Genomic DNA, 20,813 nt, shown 5'->3' with positions numbered 1-20,813 from the left:
GATAGATAGGTGGATGGATAGGTGGATGAATGGATGGGTGGGCGGATGGATGGATGGATGGATGGATGGATGGATGGATGAATGGATGGACAGATGCGTGGTGAGAAGGAAGGAGAGAGAGGAAGGGGAAAAAGAAAAATCCTCCTAGTGATGATCCTGTGGATGCTACTTACACATGTGGTGGCAGTTCAAAGAAATTGACCCCTTGATAAAGTTCCATCTGGCTCACAGTGTAGATTCCGAGCTCCTGGTATGGATTCACAGACACAAGGAGGGTGCCAATATATGTCTAGAGAAATGGACCAAAGCACAAGTGAGGAATTCTGGGGTGCAAAAGACTGTCACACATGATGATCCCCATGTGTTCATTCCACATGGAGGATTTAAAATGATAAATCAGGCGGGGTCTCTGCTGGGAGCTTACATGGCAGGTGTATGAGGGAGACAGCAGACAAACAGCTGAGGAATGAAGACAGCTGCAGGAAGAGATCAGTGTTAAGAAAGGTGTACATGGCCGGGCGCGGTGGATCATGCCTGTAATCCCAGCACTTTGGGAGGCCGAGGCGGGTGGATCACAGGTCAGGAGATCGAGACCATCCTGGCTAACATGGTAAAACCCCATCTCTACTAAAAATACAAAAAATTAGCCAGGTGTGATGGTGCATGCCTGTAGTCCCAGTTACTCGGGAGGCGGAGGCAGGAGAATCTCTTGAACCCAGGAGGCGGAGGTTGCAGTGAGCCGAGATCAGCCACTGCACTCCAGCCTGGGTGACAGAGCGAGACTCTGACTCAAAAAACTAACTAAATAAATAAATAAAAAGAAAGGTATACATAGCATAACGAGGGTACAAACAATAAAGGCAGGCCATATTAGCAGGCATGGGGAAGTCGTCTTCTTTTTTTTGAGACAGAGTCTCACTTTGCTGCCCAGGCTGGAGTGCAGTGGCTCGATCTCGGCTCATTGCAACCTCTGCCTCCCAGGTTCAAGTGATTCTCCTCAGCCTCCCATAGCTGGGATTACAGGCATGCGCCACCACCCCCAGCTAATTTTGTATTTTTAGTAGAGATGCAGTTTCACCATGTTGGCCAGGCTGGTCTTGAACTCCTGACCTCAGGCGATCTGCCTGCCTCGGCCTCCCAAAGTGCTGGGATTACAGGTGTGAGCCACCGCGCCTGGCCGGGAAGACTTCTTTAAGGAGGTGACACCTGAGCAGAGCTTGAAGGATGAGGAGCCAGCTGTAAACAAAGTAGGCAGGAAGGGCATTTCAGGCTGAAGGGATACATGAGGCAGGCTAGGGGCATGAGAGGCCATTGTGGTTGAAGCCCGAGTGAGGGCAGAATGGAGACTAGCAAGAGAGGATGTCGAAGATGGAGCAGGCTCAGATCATACAGGCTCCGTGGGCTCCCACGAGGAATTGGGGTTTTATTCTAAATGCAGTGGATGGCAGAGATACCACACTCCCCTACTGAAATAAAATACCTGCCCCACAAAGATTTCATGATGAAAATGCCAAAAGCAATTGTAACAAAAGCAAAAATTGACAAATGGGATCTAATTAAACTAAAGAGCTTCTGCACAGCAAAAGAAACTATCACCAGAGTGAACAGGCAACCTACAGAATGGGAGAAAAGTTCTACAACCTATCCACCTGACAAAGGTCTAATATCCAGTCTACAAGGAATTTAAACAAACTTACAAGAAAAAACAATCCCATTAAAAAGTGGGCAAAGGAAAATAAACAGACACTTCGCAAAAAGAAGACATACATGCAGCCAACAATCATATGAAAAAAAGCTCAACACCACCGATCATTACAGAAATGCAAATCCAAACCACAATGAGATATCATCTCACACCAGTCAGAATGGCGATTATTAAAAAGTAAAAAAATAACAGATGCTGGCAAGGCAGTGGAGAAAAAGGAAGGCTTTTACACTGTTGGTGGGAGTGTAAATTAGTTCAACCATTGTGGAAAACAGTGTGGCGATTCCTCAAAGATCTAGAGGCAGAAATACCATTTGACCCAGCAATCCCAAAGAAATATAAATCATTCTATTATAAAGATACATGTACACGTGTGTTCACTGCGGCACTATTCACAACATCAAAGACATGGAATCAACCCAAATGCCCATCAATGATAGACTGAATGAAGAAAATATAGTGCATATACACTATGGAATACTATGTAGCCATAAAAAGGAACGAGATCATGTCCTTTGCTGGGACATGGAAGTAGCTAGAAGCCATTATCCTCAGCAAACTAATGCAGGAACAGAAAACCAAACACTGCGTGTTCTTGCTAATAAGTGGGAACTAAATGATGAGGACACATGGACACATTTGTGGGAGAGGGGGGAACAACACCCATTGGGGCTTGTTGCGGGGGACAGAGAGCATCAGGAAGAATAGCTAATGCATGCTGGTCTTAATACCTTGGTGATGGGATGATCTGTGCAGCAAACCACCACAGCACGTTTACCTATGTAACAAACCTGCACATCCTGCACATGTACCCCTGAAGTTAAAAGTTGAAGATACAAAAAAAGAGAAATACCTCCCTAAACTATTACACATGAATGGACAACTTTAAGAGGGGAGCACGTAAACCTGATTTATGGTTCTTAAAGGTCTCTCTGGCATTGAGTGAAAGTAGGATGGGTGGGCCGGGCACAGTAATCCCAGGACTCTGGGAGGCTGAGGCAGGTGGATCACCCAAGGTCAGGAGTTTGAGACCAGCCTGGCCAACATGATGAAACCCCATCTCTACTAAAAATACAAAAAAATTAGCCAGGCGTGGTGGCGGATGCCTGTAATCCCAGCTACTTGGGAGGCTGAGGCAGGAGAATTGCTTGAACCCGGGTGGCGGAGGTTGCAGTGAGCCAAGATCGGGGCCACTGCACCCCAGCCTGGGCGACAGAGTGAGACTCCATATGAAAAAGAAAAAAAAAACAAACAAACAAGAAAACAGGATGGGTATACCTACAAACCTCCTAAAATTGGGCAAAACACTCCCGCTACTGGCACTTATATTCCTAGATTTCAACATTAAATTCTACTCATATTCAAGTTTTTCAAGTACTTACTTATATTTATAATATAACCACTAACATAGGCTTTTGAAATACAATTATGAATAAACAAAGAGCTCCAAGCTCTTATATAGAAAAAAAATTAATATACTCCTTGGAAAATACATCTGGTATTCTCAGATTCTCAGTGTGTAGCTGTTTCAAATACAGGATGCACTAAAGTATATATTAAGATTATGCTAAAATAGCTGGGTGTGGTGGTGTGTGCCTGTAATCCCAGCTACGTGGGAGGCTGAGGCAGGAGGAGTGCTTGAACCCAGGAGTTCAAGACTAGCCTGGGCAACTTAGCAAGACCCAACTCAAAAAAAAAAAAAAGAAAAAAAGATTACGCTAAAATCGTTCTCCAATCTCCAGGACAAAAATCAAACAGAGAACCAAAGCAGAGAAGTTTCAATAAAACCCCATATTACTTCAATCAGTAGAAATTCAGGGTGGAAGACAGTTTCTGAAATGTATCCGTTCAAATCAGAAACATTTAGCTTAATCGCAATGATCCTGTCATGCCATTTGTACTTCTCTGTACCATGCTATTTTTTCCTTTTCCTGTACATAAAATTAGTTTTTCTATTTCTACAATTAAGGGTGATAATTATGAAAGTTAGGCTCTAGGATATGTACTCTAAGAAACACCTTGTTTACTTCTTCTGGTATCCTTGGTTTCAACATATAGATTAAGTCACGAGCAGCATTACAAACAAAATAGCTATAAGACAATTATTTTTAAACCACTTCTGTCTAATTTACTCTTAGCAAAAAGCTAATAAAATCTCAAAAAATTAAATAATTTTAATAACACCCACGACACACACAGGGACACTATGAAGTTTACCCTAGAGGAATTTACCTGAAAAACGACCCTCAAATCAGAGTATGGTGATAAATGGGAATTTAACGAAAACTAGCTTTTGAATAAAAACTAGATGTGACAAGATCAATCTGAGAAGAGTTTGGTAAGTGCTGCATTCTCGACCCTTGACCATTCGTGGGGTGTGGTGGACAGCTCTTATTTTTGCCTGCTTGGTATCTCTGCCCCTTTCTCCCAACAGAGTCCTTTGGGGAACCCTCTTCCCCAGCTCTCTGCCTATACCGTCCAGGGCTCCAACTCCACCCCTCACCTTCAGGGGCAGGCCTGGTAAGAGCCTGGCCAATCAGAATAGTCTTCATTTCTAGCCATGGGATTGGTTCAGAGACAGGCACATGACCGAAAGTGGGCCAATCAGAGCTGATCAATGTCAACTTGGGCCATTTACTAGAGCTTATCCCCAGAGTATTGGCTCGCTTCTCTGCAGCAACCCTGAGCTGATAAAATGACAGCCTGGATCTGAGGGCAGCCATCTTGCTGCCATGCACTTGAGAAAGAAATGGATGCCTAAGAAAGCAGAGCAGAGATTGAGAAGGAGTTGCCAGACATTGTCTGAAACCCTAGATCTAGTCCCGGGACCTACAGTAACAGACATGGACAGATTCCTTTTAGTGACTTAGGCTGGTGTAAGTTGGGTCTCTGTCACGGGCAGCCATAAACGTCTTAGCACAAAGGATCGAAGTGCATCTAAGAGTGGCGCCTCAGTATCTCCCTTTAATGTCTAACCTAATAGAGTGCTATTATTCACACTCATCAAAGTCGTGAAGGCAAGAAGGGAACAACCACCCTAGAAAAACAGCTGAGAAGTGGGTCACGTTACGTATATGAGGTTCTCGCTGAAACGCTTGCGGAGGTTGTCGACAAAGGCAGATTCGCTGGTGTACGCGTCCAATAGCACAAAATCCTGAACCCCGACCTTGTCCCGGGCAGTCAGCGCCCCTTCCATGTGCAGACGGATGTGTTTCCTCCTCACGTCTTCTTTCTACGGGAAATAGAACATTCTTCAGCAGCTCATCTATTTGGTAATATCTATTACACGTCTAATGCATGGAAATAACAAGATGCTAAACCCTGGGATAGTAGAGAGCCAGCATTAAATTATGCCGTCTTCACTTAGAGTTTACAATATGGTTGGGGATACAAGATCATAATCATAAAAAATAGGAATAGCAGCAGCTGATAGGAACCAAGTATTTACTGCTAGGTACTATTCTAAACACTTGACTTATACTGTTTCATTTGATCTTCATTCTGACCCTATGAAATACTATTATGATGCCCATTCTACAGATGAGAAAACTGAGGCATAGGAATGTCATAAGCCACGCCCAAAATCTGCCAAAAGACGCAGCCAGAAAATGAACCTAGACAACATACCCAGACTTGCTTTCCTGACAACCATGGACTCAATAAATGTTTTTTTTAAATTAATGTTTCCTTTATGTTGATTAGTCAAGCTTGAATTTTTTCTTTTTTTAAAATTAATTTTTCTTTATTTCAATAAGTGTTAATTGTGTAAACTCACTTTGTAATTCTCACATGGGTGGTGAGGAGTTTGGGCCAGAAAGGGAAATTCTTGCTACAGAGGAATATTTAAGGAAGGACAAACTTGGAGTGTTCCTCTCCAAGGATGGGCTTCAGATGTCACTGGAGAAGGTGTGGCTACAGCCCATTGGATGGCAAAGAATCTCACCAGGATACCAGGGCCAGAGCTGGTTCGGTCACTGGGCAGGCACCAGGCATGACCTTCCTGAGCACCCGCGCTGCTGGATGGGAGACCATGGAGGGGGCCAAGGAAATCAACCTTCCAGGGCTCAGGCAAGCTGCGGCCAGAGGGCAGGTGTGCGTTGGGAGAGGGAACAGGAGTAGGTATGAAGCCTGGAGTGTGTAATGTCTGCATCAGGAGGGCTGTGACAAAGTGGTCACCAGGCCCTTGGCCAGAGCTGTGAGGTCACTGAGAGACTATGTGCTCTGGGCACACGGTTAGTGTGTGTCCCCCCCACATACCACGTGCAGCAGAATGTACAGTCTGAAAACAAGAAAAAGCAAAACATAGCAAAGGACATCAGGAAGAGAAGCGGCCTGCCTTTGCAATGTCCCTCCAGTGCCCTCTAGTGACAAAAATGACATTGTGTTCACTTTAAGGAGAAATGCCTAAAGCGTGCAGTTGGTTATTGCTCAGCAGGTAATGAAGGGTGAATTTGGATCTGAGAGGCAATAAATTGACAACTGGTACATATGGATATGCAAAGGTCCTAGCATAGCCAAATTAACCTTGCAAAAGAAAAACAAAGCTAGAATAAGACTGTGTTTAATAAGACTGCGTCTCAATTGATTTTCAGTAGAGGTCCCAAAACAATTCAGCACAGAAATGGAAAACATTTCCATCCAATGGTGCAGGAACAACTAGATATTTATAAAGAAAAAAAATTGCAGTTGTGTGTGGTGGCTCACAGCTGTGATCCCAGCACACTGGGATGCTGAGGCAGGAGGATTGTCTAAAGCCAGGAGTTGGAGACCAGCCTGGGCAACACAGGGAGATTCCCATCTCTACTTAAAAATATATAAATAGAAAAAGAAAGTAAAAATGCATTTCAGTCCCTATATTACATTACACTACACTACACACACACACACACACACACACACACACACACACACACACACACGAACTTGAGATGCATCTTAGACCTAAATGCAAATTTAAAATCTATATAAAGCTACTGGAAGTAAACAAGGGGACCATCTTTGTAACCAGGGGAAGGCAAAGTTTTCTTAGATGAGAGCCAGGAAGAAATAATAATAAAAGACACAAAATAAGAAATCAGACTTCACCAAATATAAAGCTTCTCATTAGAAGACACTGTTAAGAAAATAGGCAAGTCACAGAACAGCAGAAAATATTCCTAAATTATACAGACGCAAAGAATTTGTATCCAGAATAAAAGACACCTACAGTCCAATAATAAAAAGACAAACCCAATGAAAATTTGGCAAAAGACTTGAATAGACACTTCACAAAGGAAGATAGACAAATTGGCAATACACACATAGAAAAATGGTCAACATTGTTAGTCATCAGGGAAACACAAATTAAAACCACAATGAGATACCACCACAATAGTTAAAATTAAAAACACTGACAACACCAAATACTGGTGAGGATGCGGAGCAGACAGAATTCTCTCGCACTTCTGGTAGGAATGCAAAGAGAATCACTTTGGGAAAAAGATCTGGCAGTTTCTAATGAAGTTAACCATGCCTCTATTCTTTGATCCAGCGATTCCACTCCTAAGTATTTACACAAGAGAAATGTAAACATATGTCTACAAAAAGACTTGAACATGAAGTTCAACTCATGCTCAACTTTATTCAGAACGGCCCCTAACTGGAAACAATCCAAATCCCCATCAACTGGAGAATGGCTGTGGCCCATCTGTACAATAGAAGGAGGACAGCAATAAAAGAGAAATAACGGGTACACGCAAGAGCATGGATGACTCTCACAGACATTATGCTGAGTGAAAGAGCCCAGACACAAAAGAGTCGTACTGTAGGATTCCATTGATATGGCACACTGGGACAAGCAAAACTAATCCACAGTGAAAAATCAGAACAATTGTTGCCTAGTTGAGGAGTTGTCAGGCAAATGACATTTTTGGAGTGATGAAAACATTCCATATCATGATAGGGCTGTGGGTTACATGAGTATATCTATCGGTCAAGATAAACTGTTAAAATTGTGTGCATTTCACTATATGTAAATTTTATTTTTGAAAAACAACCGTAAAAAATAAGTGGGGAAGAGGTAGGGATTGGCTGGAGGTATGAATATAAACGGAATGGCAGAATGTTAATTGTTAAAGCTAGGTGGTGGGTAGAGGGGGATTTATGATACTATTCTGTTTACTTTGCATAAATTTGAAGTTTTCCATAAAAAAAGTTTTAAAAAACAGAATGGCCACCAGATGTCTCCCTACACTAGCCAAATGGAGCTAGAAGAGCCTTAATCACTAGCAACCTAACATTCAAAACAATGCATTTAGATCAAACAATATTTTAGTGATTTCAGGCTGGGCGTGGTAGGCTCGTGTTTGTAATCCTGGCACTTTGGGAGGCCAAGGCAGGCGGATCACTTGAGCCCAGGAGTTTGAAACCAGCCTGAGTAACATGTTGAAACTCTGTCTCTACTAAAAATATGAAAACTAGCTGGGTGTGGCAGTGCGTGCCTGTAGTCCCAGCTGCTCATGCTGAAGTGGGAGGATCGCATGAACCTCAGAAGGCTGAGGCTGCAATGAGCCATGATTGCACTGCTACACTCCAGCCTAGGCAACAGAGTGAGACATTGTCTTAAAAAAAAAAAAAGAAAAGAAAGAAAGAAAAAAAGAAACATTTTAGTAATCCCAAATATTTCCATGCTGTACCACATATAGCATAGCATAATGATTAAGACGTTGGAACACGAGCATTTCCAAGTTCAAATCCTATCTCTGTTGCTTCCTGGCAGTATAATCTTGGGAGAGTCCCAAGTCTCTTGTTTCATCTCTATAAAACGGAATTATAATTGTACTTACCTCATAGGGTTGTCAGTTTCACCAGAACCATGTAAAGCACATGGAACCCTGCCAGGCACAATTTAAATTTAGTGAGTGCTTGCTTTTGTCATCATTAGTATCAATAATCACGATTATTAGAAATAGAAACATAGTAAAGCAAGTCTGCTGATTAGGAGTCAATGAGCCTCTATTAAATTGGAGGTGGGTTGGTGTCTGAAATAATGTCTGGAGCTGCACCCAGAAATATTACTGCAGTCAGGTTGCTGCAGGTGGAGGATGCAGAGATTAACCAAATTTCTCTCTTAGCCTGGTCCTAAGGATGGGAGGGTGGGGTACTCCTGCAGTCAGCCTAGGAACTGATGTGACTTGAAGCCCAAAGAAATTTGACAAAACCTTGTAGATTAAGGAACATGACAATGATTTTTAACTTGCCAGGGTCAAAGCAGACTCCATTCACTTCAGACTAGAGTTTTGTTTATTGCAATATTTCAGTTCTGACACCTCGATTCCTTTGTTGATTTCCAGTTATCTTTTAAAGGGCGTGAGAAAACGAGAGTGTCCCAATAAGAGTGACATGGACCATCAAAGGGATGAATATTGGGACATAAAGGAGAAGGGTAATCAAGAAGTTGGAGTGATTCAGCCTTGACCAAAAAGATGACTAAGAGACTTATAAAGAGAGCATTAAATCCAGATTAAATAAGAGGGAGGAAATTAAAGAGATCTTCAATTACACCTAAGAAAATTAAATTAAATCAAATTAAGTTACATCTAAGAAAGAACTCCATCTTTGGGGTGATAAAACTGTGGAGGATCCTAACTGTGCATAACCATGGTGCAGGGATCACAGATTCTGCCTGTTACAGGGTTCCAGCAGGTACCATGACTGAGTCAAGCTGCCAGGTGATGGGGACTGGGTTAGACTCAGGAATGAATGGCCATCTCTGGTGTGTAGCTACTGTCTGGCTCCAGCTGGTTGACATCAGGCACAAATATAGGGCCTGTGTTGCCAGAACTTCCGATTATTTAAGTCAGAAGTTTGGAATTACATACCCAGTCCTGTCGTACAATTTACCCTTGCAGGACATTATTTTGCAGCCTCTGCAGCAAGCCACTCTTTGTCTTGGATGGTTTAGACCTGTTGCTCATCTAAAAGCAGGGGATTCAAGGAAACACTCAAACCAGAACCATCATTTTGGAAGTATCATGTACTCAGTGATGATCTGATCATCTTCTACATAATCTAATGCTTGACCCAGTATGTGGAGTCGGGGTGGGGAGATGACAGGGAGGCCACAGTATGTGGAAAGGTGGTGAGATGCCATGGTAGAGGCAGAAATGCCTGCCAGCTATTCCGTGGACTTCCCCACATTTACAAACTCCCTTGCAGTTAGGTGGAGTTGCTTGACTACTTCCGGCCAACTGGCTGTAAATAGAAGTGACATTTGTGTAAGACCCTTCCAGTGTTATTAGAACTTCTTTGATACTGCAATGACTGAGAATTTCTTTTGCTGAATGGACAAGCCACAAGATCAAAACAGCCTGGATTCCTGAGCCATCACATGGAGGAGAGATGTCTTGAAGAGTCATCAACACCCACAGTAGACTTTGTGTACGTAAGAAATAAACTCCTGTTATGGGAAACTTCTGAGTTTTGGGGCTGTTTGTTATTGTAGCTGAAGACTGCTTATCCTGACTAATACACATGCGGAACAGAACTTTTCCACTGGGAGGACAGCAGTTTGAATGTGAGCCACAGTTCTCCCATGTTAAACTTGGCCAGCTGTTTTGGCTACTACCCTAAAGTTCTGGAGGAAGAGTAAGGGCTATTTTTTAAGGGGAGAAGAGGGTAGATGATAAGCCTTGAAGCTGTCATTTTTGAATTTTATTTGAAATGTCAAAATCCTTTGTTCAAGGGAAATGTTATAAGAAACCTTAATATGTAAAATTGAGGAAAGCAGACCTTTCTGATTGAAGTAGGGGGTGAGAGTTTCACTGGGTTGCCCCACAGAAACATGGGAGAGGTTCTGGGGAAAGCTTAGGGCAGAAGAGAGTTTGCAAACCACTGCATAGCCCCCGAGCCTTTATTGCCCAAGCACCATCATTTGAGCACTTCCTTCACATGTATTGTCATTGTCTGTGTACTGCCAGTATTATTTTTTACTTCATCTTTTCTTTATATTTATTTTTTATATATTTATATATTTATTTATATATATCATTATTTTAATTCATATTTTTAAAATATATTTTTCCTGTAAATATATATATATAAAGATATTTTGAAAAGTTCTCATACACAAAACTAACAAAAGTACAACAAACTCAATATACACAGCTTCAACAATGAACGTATGCCTTCCCCTATTCCAGCTGTGTTTCACTACTCCCCCAGCACTGGATTATTTCGAGGTAAATCACAAAACATTATATCGCTTTATGTATAAATATTTTAGTAGGTATCTCTAAAACATAGGAGCTCTAAAACTATACATGCACTTATATACCTATATGTAATCACAACACCATTATCATAAAGAATACCATAATAATTCCTTAATACTAATTATAATACCTAATGTTCAAATTTCTCTAATTATATCTATATTTTACAATTGGTTTGCTCAAATCAGGATCCAAACAAGGTCCACACATTGCATTTAGCCAATGTGTCTCTCAAGTCTCTTTTGTTCTATAGGTTCCCTCCATTTCTTTCTTGCAATTTATTCATAGAGAAAATTGGACAATCTGTCTTGTAGAATTTCTCACATTCTAGGTTTTGTTAATTGCATTCTTAAGGAGTCATTTAACATGTCTGTCTTTCTCCTGCATTTCCTGAAAACTGGTTGTTTGAATTAGAGGTCCAATCAGATACAAGATTGATTGGTTTTGGCAAAAAAAAAGACTTCATAGGCAGCATATTATACTTCCAGAAGGAGACACATGAGGGCTGGCTGTCTTTTCAGGATGTCAGTGTTTTCTGATACACACTACCCAAATCCACATTTTCTTAGGAGTTTGATATTCCAGTTCTATCAAACCATCTTCATTTATTAGATGAGACTGTTCTATAAAGAGAAATTTCCCTTATTAACTGTTTGGTTGCCCTGTGGTACAGTTTGCAAGGGAAAGGCAGGATAAATGTTTGATTTGCTAGTTTTCAGAATAATGAGTTGGTTCCACTGCTTCCTCCCAAGGTGACAATGAGTTTTTAATATCATTACAAATTAAAGGTTTATATGTATTGGTTATGTTTCATGCCATGATAGTTAACTTTTTTTTTAAGACAGAGTCTTGCTCTGTTGCCCAGGCTGGAGTGCAGTGGTGCGATATTGACTCACTGCAACCTCCGCCTTCTGGGTTAAAGCAATTCTTGTCCCTCAGAGTAGCTGGGATCATAGGCATGAACCAAGTAGCTGGGATTATAGGCTTGCACCACCACACCCAACTAAGATTTTGTATTTTTAGTAGAGACGGGGTTTCACCATGTTGGCCAGGCTGGTCTCGAACTCCTGACCTCAAGTGATCCACCCACCTTGGCCTCCCAAAGTGCTGGGACTACAGGTATGAGCCACTGCGCCCAGCCAACAGTTAACCTTATTGATGCCCAATTTATCCCAAATTTGGCCAGTGGGAATCTATCAAGTAGGCTCTTGAGTAATTTTTAGTTTAATTAATTTATTATTGTTATTTTGGAGATAGGATTTTTACTCTGTCATCCAGCCTGGACTGCGGTAGTGCAGTCATAGCTCACTGTAATCTTGAACTCCTGAGCTCAAGCCATCTTCTCTCCTCAGCTTCCCAAGTAGCTGGGATTACAGGTGCATGCTGTCATACCTGAGTGATTCGAGTCCTTCTGACATGGCCTTGTCTTTATGAGCTTTCTTGCTTATAAGGATGCTGAGTTGTTTCAAAGCTTATTTATTTTCAACCTAGACCTTGAATCTGTCTTTTCTCCAATGAACTCTGGTTTCTTTGAGTGGGTAGATGGTAGCTGCCACGTTCATACCCTAGGAGTGGTCATTGCTGCAGGGTTAATCATTGTTTCTAGACCTTTTCAATAGCAGAAGAAAGCATTTTAAAAATAAAATATATTATGAGTTTATTCTGATTCTATCAATTTAATATAGAATGAAGAGGTTTGAACTTAACCTTAGTTTTCTGAGACAGAGTCTCGCTCTGTTGCCCAGGCTGGAGTGCAATGACGTGATCTCACCTCTCTGCAACCTCTGCCTCCCGGGTTCAAGTGATTCTCCTGCCTCAGCCTCCCGAGTAGTTGGGACTACTGGTGCGGGCCACCATGCCTGGCTAATTTTTGTATTTTTAGTAAAGATGGGGTTTCACCATGTTGGCCAGGCTGGTCTCGAACTCCTGACCTGAAGTGATCTGCCCACCTTGGCCTTCCAAATTCTGGAATTACCAGTGTGAACCATCACACCCAGCCTTAACCTTAGTTTTCTATCTCTTCTCTTTTCTCCCATCCAAAAATTCTAGTTCAATGACATGAGCAATGTTTCATTGGCTTTATTAACAATATACACACAACAGTCTCAAAATAATAATACCAACACTGTCACCAGTGGGATTACTGAAAACCATCTAAAACTTTTTGAATTCTTTGTCCTCAGGGTAAACCTCACTGGAATTGTAGAGACACATTACTGTGTTTTTTAGGTTCCCTTGAAATAGTCAATCTCTCTATGCTAGCAACCAGATGTACATTTTTTTTTCATTTTACCGTTTATGTCAGCGGATTGATTTTTAAATTTAATTTTGTTTTATAAGTATGTAGAATATTTAATGATGCCAAGGAATAAATTAGGGCATATTCAGAGACCTAGCTCCTGTTCTTACCCTTTCTTCTGCATTCTCATCCTCCTCCTGTAAACAACTATTTTTTAAATGTTAAAATTGGCCTGGGTGCGGTGGCTGTCATGTGTAATCCCAGCACTTTGGGAGGCTGAGGCAGGAGGATCACTCGAGGCCAGGAGTTTGAAACCAGCGTGGGCAACAAAGCGAGACCGTATCTCTACAAAAAGTAAAAAATGAAATAAAAATTTTAAAAAGTTAAAATTGCTGGCCGGGCGTGGTGGCTTATGCCTGTAATCCCAGCACTTTGGGAGGCTGAGGTGGGCGGATCACGAGGTTAAGACATCGACACCATGCTGGCCAACATGGTGAAACTCCATCTGTACTGAAAATACAAAAATTAGCTAGGTGTGGTGGTGAGTGCCTGTAGTCTCAGCTACTTGGGAGGCTGAGGCAAAAGAATGGCTTGAACCTGGGAAGCGGAGGTTGCAGTGAGCTGAGATTGCTCCACTGCACTCCAGCCTGGTGACAGAGTGAGACTCCATCTCAAAAAAAAAAAAAAAAAAAAAAGGTTAAAATTGCTAAAACAGTTTCTTTTTTAAATATAAGCAATTTACATGTAGATTTGTTTTCCTCTTTTCTTAGGCTAATGTTTGCAAACTATATATGCTATTTTTCAATCTTGTCTTTTTTGGAGCTCATTTGGGAGTTGTTTAGAGAGATATTCCTCATTATTTTTTAGAACTGCAAAGTATTTCACTATTTGTGCTTACTATATTGCAGTTTACTAAAACAATCCCATAGTGAGGGATCATAACTAGCCTCTCTCTGATAGAAACTGACAGAAACCAATAGCAAAAAACGCTCAATAGCACACAGAAAATCAAACACCACAATCAACTAACACATGTAGACCGTTGCACCCAACAACTGGAGCATATACATTTTAGTTCAAAAGCACATAGAACTTTTTAAAAATGGACATTATTCCCAGCCATAAAGTAAATCTCAAGTTTCAAAAGATTGAAATCCTACAGAGCTGAATCTGATCTAACCCCTAAGTCAGTGCTGTCAAATAGAATCTTCTGACATGATGAAAATGTTTGATAGCTTCACTGTTCAGTACAGCAGCCACTAGCCACATGTGTGGCCTTTTAGCACTTGAAATGTGGTGAGGCTGAGGAACTGAAATTTGTATTTAATTTTGATTTATTTAAATTTACATAGCCATAGGTGACCAGTGCCTAGTACTCAGGGAGCACAGGTTTAGATCTAACTTCCAATTCAAAGGACAGTAAGGAATGGAAAAGACATTAAACAATGCTGTAGTATACCATCACCTAAATCCAGAGTGGGAGACGCTACAGGAAAATCTAGTTACTTTCTTCAACATTTGTTGAAGGAAACTACAAGGGAACCTATATTTTAAAAGAGAAAAAAGTAGAAAATGCAACTCAAAACCACAATGAGATACCACTTCACACCCACCCCTATCCCTCCCTCCCTCTCTCTCTTGCTTCCTCTCACACCATGTAATCTCTCTACGTGCTAGCTTCCTTTTACCTTCCACTACGAGTAGCCTGAGGCCCTCACCAGGGAAAATATCAGATAATAAGTGTTGGCAAGGAAGTAAACAATTTAGAACCCTCATCCATTGTTGGTGGGAATATAAAATGGTGCAGGTCGGGCACAGTGGCGCATGCCTGCAATCCCAGCCTTTTGGGAGGCCCAGACGGGGGCTTGAGCTCAGGAGTTTGAGACTAGCCTGGGTAGCACAGTGAGACCACATCTCTACAAAAATGAAAAAAAAAATTGGCTGGGTATGGTGGTGCACACCTGTGGTACCATCTATTTGGGAGGCTGAGGTGGGAGGATTGCTTAAGTCTGGGAGGTCAAGGCTGCAGTAAGCCGTGATCACACCACTGGACTCCAGCCTGGGCAAAAGAGTGAGACCTTATCTCAAAAAAATAAATAAATAAATAAAAAAGAAAAAAAAAGAAAAAGAAAATGGTGCAGCCACTTTGGAAAACATTCTGGTAGCTCCTCCAAAGATTAAACAGAGCTACCATATGACCCAGCAGTTCCACTCTTAGGTATCTACCCAAGAGAAACGGAAACATGTCCATGGTGTGGTGATGACTGCACAACTCTGCAAATATATTAAAAACAAGTGAACTGTACACTTTAAATAGATTAATTGTATGGCATATGAATTAGATCTCAATAAAGCTGTTATTTTAAAAAAGAGATGAAAAAGAGTTATCAATAATCACAACGTATGGCATAGTGGTTATGTTTTTAAAAGATTCTGTATCACTTAGAAATAAATACTGAAATACGGAGGAAATGACATTGTGTCTGGAACTGTATCAGAGTAACCTGGCTATGGGAAACAAGTGGGGAAGGAGGTAAGACATCACTGGCCATGAGATGATTATTATCCTGGTGGTGAGAGTTACTAGGAGATTCATTATACTATTCTTTCTACTTTTATACAAAGCTTATTGGTTGCATGACATATAGAATGTTTATTTTTCATAATACTTATTTAAAACATTTCACAATAAAGTTAAAGATTCTTTAGGAATAAATCTAATAGAAGATATATAAGACTGCTATAGGAGAAAATGATAAGACATTATTGGATAAACAGAACTGATAAAGCCATAGAGGCAGAATGCAGATTGGTGGTTGCCAAATGCTTTGGTTTGGGTATGGTTTGTTTCCACCAAGTCTCATGTTGAAACCTGATCCCCAGTGTTGGAGGTGGGGCCTTCTAGGAGGTGCTTGGGTCATAGGCTCCATCCCATGGATCCCTCATGAATAAATTAATGCCCTCCCTCAGGGTGAGTGAGTTTTCACTCTATTTGTTCCTGAAAGAGCTGGTTATTTAAAAAGAGCCCATCAGGTGATACCTCCACCTCCTCTCTCTTGCTTCCTCACTCACCATGTGATCTCTGCACATGTTAGTTTCCCTTTATCTTCCACTATGAGGCCCTCAACACGTGCAGATGCCCAATCTTGAACTTTCCAGCCATCAGAATTATAAGCCAAATAAACCTTTCTTTCTTTATAAACTATTCAGCCTCAAGTATTCCTTTATAGCAACACAAAATGGACTAAGACGGCAAGAGATGGTGGGAGGGAACATGAGTGGAAACTGCTTAATGGGAAGATATTTTACTTTGGAGTGATGGAAATGTTTTGAAACTATAAAGAAGTGGCGGCTGCACAATACTGTGAGTTTACAAAATGCCACTGAATCTGATTACTTTAAAACAGCTAATTTTACATTATGTGAATTTCACCTCAATACATTTTAAAGGAAAACAATTAGAAGAAATTAAAGAACAATAAAAGGGTATACCATATTCATGAATGGAAAGACTCAGTATTCTAAAGATGTTATGTTCTCCCACACTGGTCCTTAGATTCAATACTATCACAATCAAAATCCCAAGAAGTTTAAGTAAAACTTGACAAGCTGTTTCTGAAATTTTTGTGAAATTGCAAAGGACCAAGAATAGCCAAGATAATCTGTATACAGAACAGCTTATTGTTGTCTGATGACTTGCTCTACTAGTTACCAAGCCATACTGTAAAACTACATTAATCCAGATAGTATGATATTGGCATGGGGATACAAAGACACCAGTGTAACAGAATAGAGAGCCCAGGATCAGACCTACAAATAAATGAACACTTTATGTTGACAAAGGTAGCAGAACAAAGCAGTGAGAAAAGGGCAGCCTTTTCCAAATATCATCCTGGGACACTGGGAGGTGTGTGCAAAAAAACTGTATGCCTACCCCATACCACACAGAAAAGTAATTTTCAGTGGATTAAAGACCTATATGTGGCAACAAAAAGAAAGGAGTACTGATACATGTTACAACATGGATGAACCTTGAAAACATCATGCTAGGTGAAAGAAGCAGTTACAAAAGGACAACTACTATATGACTTCATTTATATGAAATATCCAGAACAGTGAAATATATAGACATGGAAAGTGGATCAGTAGTTACCAAGTGCTAGGCAGTTTGAGGTGACTGCTAAAGGGCATGAAATTTCTTTTCAAGGTGTTGAAATGCTCTAAAATTGATTGTGTTGATGGTTGTGTAACTCTGTGAATAAACTGAAAACCTTGAGGTATCTACTCTAAATTGTATGGTGTATGAATTGTATTTCAGTAAGATGGTTACCAAAAAAAATCTAAATGTGAAAGGCAAAACTATAAAGCTTTAGAAGAGAATATAGAAGATATCTTCATGGCCTTGGGGTAGGAAATTATTTCTTTCTTTCCATTGATTGACTGATTGAGACAGGGTCTTGCTCTGTTGCCCACGCCGAAGTGTAGTGGTGCTATTATAGATTACTGTAGCCTCAAACTTCTGGGCTCAAATGATCCTCTTGCCTTAGCTTCCCAAGTAGTTGAGGCCACAGGCACTCATCACCACACCCTGCTAATTTTTGTATTTTTTTATAGAGAAAGGGTTTTGCCATATTGCCCAGGCTTGTCTCAAACTCCTAGGCTCAAGTGATCCATCTGCCTCGGCCTTCCAAAGTGCTGGGATTACAGGTGTGAGCCACTATTCCTAGCCAGGATTTCTTCATAATTCATATGAAAAAGCATCAACCATAAAGGGAATGATGTACAATCTTGATTACATTAAAATCAATACATTTTATTAAATGATATAAAAAGAGTGAAGCGCAAAGCTATAGAGTTGGGGAAGCTATTTCCAATACATAAAAAGGATCTAGAAATGAATAAGAAAAATCAAACAGTTCAATCTAAAAATAGGATGGTGGCAAACAGGCATTTTATATAAAATTGAATGGCTGGCCGGGTGTGGTGGCTCCCACCTGTAATCTTAACATTTTGGGAGGCCGAGGTGGGCAGATCGCTTGAGGCCATGAGTTTGAGACCAGTGTGGGCAACATGGCAAAACCCCATCTCTACAAAAAATATGAAAATTAGCTGCATGTGGTGGTACACGCCTGTAGCCCCAGCAACTCAGGAGGCTGAGGTGGGAGGGTGGCTTGAGCCTGGGAGGTGGAGGCTGCAGTGAGCCAAGATTGTGCCACTGCACTCCAGCCTGGGCAATAGAGCCAGACCTTGTCAAAAAAAAAAAAAAAATCCGCCGGGCATGGTGGCTTACGCCTGTAATCCCAGCACTTTGGGAGGCCAAGGCAGGTGGATCACCTTAGGTCAGGAGTTTGAGACCAGCCTGGCCAACATGGCGAAACCCCGTCTCTACTAAAAATACAAAAATTCACTGGGCACAGTGGCAGGCACGTGTAATCCCAGCTACTCAGGAGGCTGAGTAAGGAGAATTGCTTGAACCCAGGAGGTGGAGGTTGCAGTGAGCCGAGATCATGCCACTACACTCCAGCCTGGGCAACAGAGCCAGACTTCGTCTCGAAAAAAAAAAAATCAAATGGCCAATACAAATATGAAATGTGCAAATTAATATGCACCGGAATATAATTTTATACTTACCAAACTGACAAAAATTTTAAAGCCTAACAAGACAAGCTGGGAAGGATGTAGAGCAAGAGAAACTCTTATACTATATGGATGGGAATGTAAATTGGTACAATTACTTTGGAAAACAATTTAGTATAGCCCAGAAAAGCTGAAGACACATATCCTCTGACCAAGCCACTTAATTCCTCTTGTTTATGTGCTGTGGGGGACAAGCATAGGAAGGTACATGGCAGCGTTATTTATAACAACTCCAAAACAAGAAACACACTCAACTTCCACCAATAAAAGAATATGTTACTATTATGATTGCACAGTGGTATAGTCATACCACAAACAATTATATAGAACTTACAGTATGCCAGGCACTGCCCCAAGTGCTTCTTATATATGAATTCATTTGAAACCTTTCAATAACCCTATGAGGTAGTAGGTATTTTAGCTCCCATTTTACAGACGGGGAAACTGAGACACAGAGGGGTTAAATAACTTGCCACATAGCTAGTACATGTCAACTGAGATGGACACTAAACAGCCTGACTCCAGAATCCATATTCTTTTTAACACACTCCAGAAGGACACAAAAGATGACTTATAGAAATGGAAAAACAGGCCAATTCAGGATAGATTCAACAAAAATGTTTAATTCAGTCATGCTGTGTACAACTGCGGAAGTGAATCCATCACGTGCTGATCAACGTGGTTCAATCTCAAAGAACAGCATTGTTCAAAGAAAGCCAGTCACATAAGAGTATATGTAGTTTAATTCTATTATAACAAGGGCCCCAAATAAGCAAAATTAAGCAATCTATTGCTTTCTTTGAGACAGAGTCTCACTCTGTCGCCCAGGCTGGAGTGCAGTGGTGTGATCTCAGCTCACTGCAGCCTCCACCTCCCAGGTTCAAGTGATTCTCCTGCCTCAGCCTCCCGAGTAGCTGGGATTACAGGTATGTGCCACCACTCTGGCTAGAGAATACTTTTACAGGTGGTAAAACAACAAAGAAAACCAAGGGTGGGTTTTGTATCTTTCACTGGGTGGAGGCATATGAGTGTTTGTTATTCTTTAAGTTATACATATTTATATATACTCTTCTGTGTGTGATATTTTGTAATAAAAATATAAAAGTAACTAGACCAAGCTCATCTTAGGAATATCAAAACCAAATTCCTCAATAAGTGATTAGCAAGTTGAATTCAACAAAACATAAAGAAATAGTAAAACATGACCAAATGGGATTTATTCCAGGAATGTTATATCAGAAAATCTAGTAATAAAATAGATTATTCTAAGAATACAATATTAGAAAACCTATTAATAATAGATTTACCAAATCAATAGATCATGTGAAAAATTATACATCTAAGTTTTAAAAAAGCATTTGATCAACTCAATTTTCATTCTTGATAATTATAATTATATTACATTCTTGATAATTACAAAAACAGTAGACACTTATTTAACATTATAAAAATACAGCTATGTCTCAAAAGCTAGCACCATACTTAATAAACATAAAAGCATGCCTCTTAAAATCAAGAAAAAGACGTAAGTTTTCTTTATCGTCCTAATTCGAAGTACTGGCCAATGCAATTAGATAAGAGGAGGAAATCAAAATAGAAACATTGGAGAAGAAAAGCATCTGCTGATTACTATTTCCAAGGAAAATCCAAACATTATATATGATATGTAAATTCAGGCCATATACAAAGTTAATAAACAAAAATCAATAGCTCTAATGTAACCAAATAATTATTAGTTAGAATATGCAATGGTAGAAATAACTCCCCTTAAGATATTGACTAAAGAGATAAAATATAGAATAAGTTTATCACCAAATGTGCCAGATTTCTATAAAAATAATTTTAACACACTCTTGAGGAACACACAAAAAATTCAAACAAATGGAAAGATATACTATGTTCTTGGATAGGGAGATTCAATATCATATAGTTATTAATTTACCTAAGTTCAACTATAAAATAAAGTCCCATTTAAAATACT

General features: G+C 40.4%; 1 protein-coding gene across 3 annotated transcripts in view; it reads right to left on the bottom strand.

Moving 5' to 3' along the window:
- The window catches only part of MYO1H (myosin IH), a 137,912-nt gene that overhangs the window by 54,760 nt on the left and 62,339 nt on the right, over positions 1-20,813 (bottom strand). For 2 of the 3 annotated variants that reach the window (XM_011538223.3, NM_001101421.4), the window contains 2 exons: positions 4,776-4,937; positions 174-289 (listed from right to left, as the gene is read on the bottom strand). In XM_011538223.3, the coding sequence (XP_011536525.1) occupies positions 174-289; positions 4,776-4,901 (242 nt within the window). In that variant the 5' untranslated portion in view covers positions 4,902-4,937. Of the gene's footprint in view, positions 1-173; positions 290-4,775; positions 5,344-20,813 lie in introns of those variants that run through there. The other variant, XM_047428738.1, reaches the window with a different exon arrangement.

The sequence above is a fragment of the Homo sapiens genome, chromosome 12, assembly GCF_000001405.40.
Source record: "Homo sapiens chromosome 12, GRCh38.p14 Primary Assembly".
Classification (NCBI taxonomy): Eukaryota; Metazoa; Chordata; class Mammalia; order Primates; family Hominidae; genus Homo; species Homo sapiens.
The sequence above is the reverse complement of the archived record's forward strand: the minus strand, read 5'-3'. Positions and strand labels throughout refer to the sequence as shown.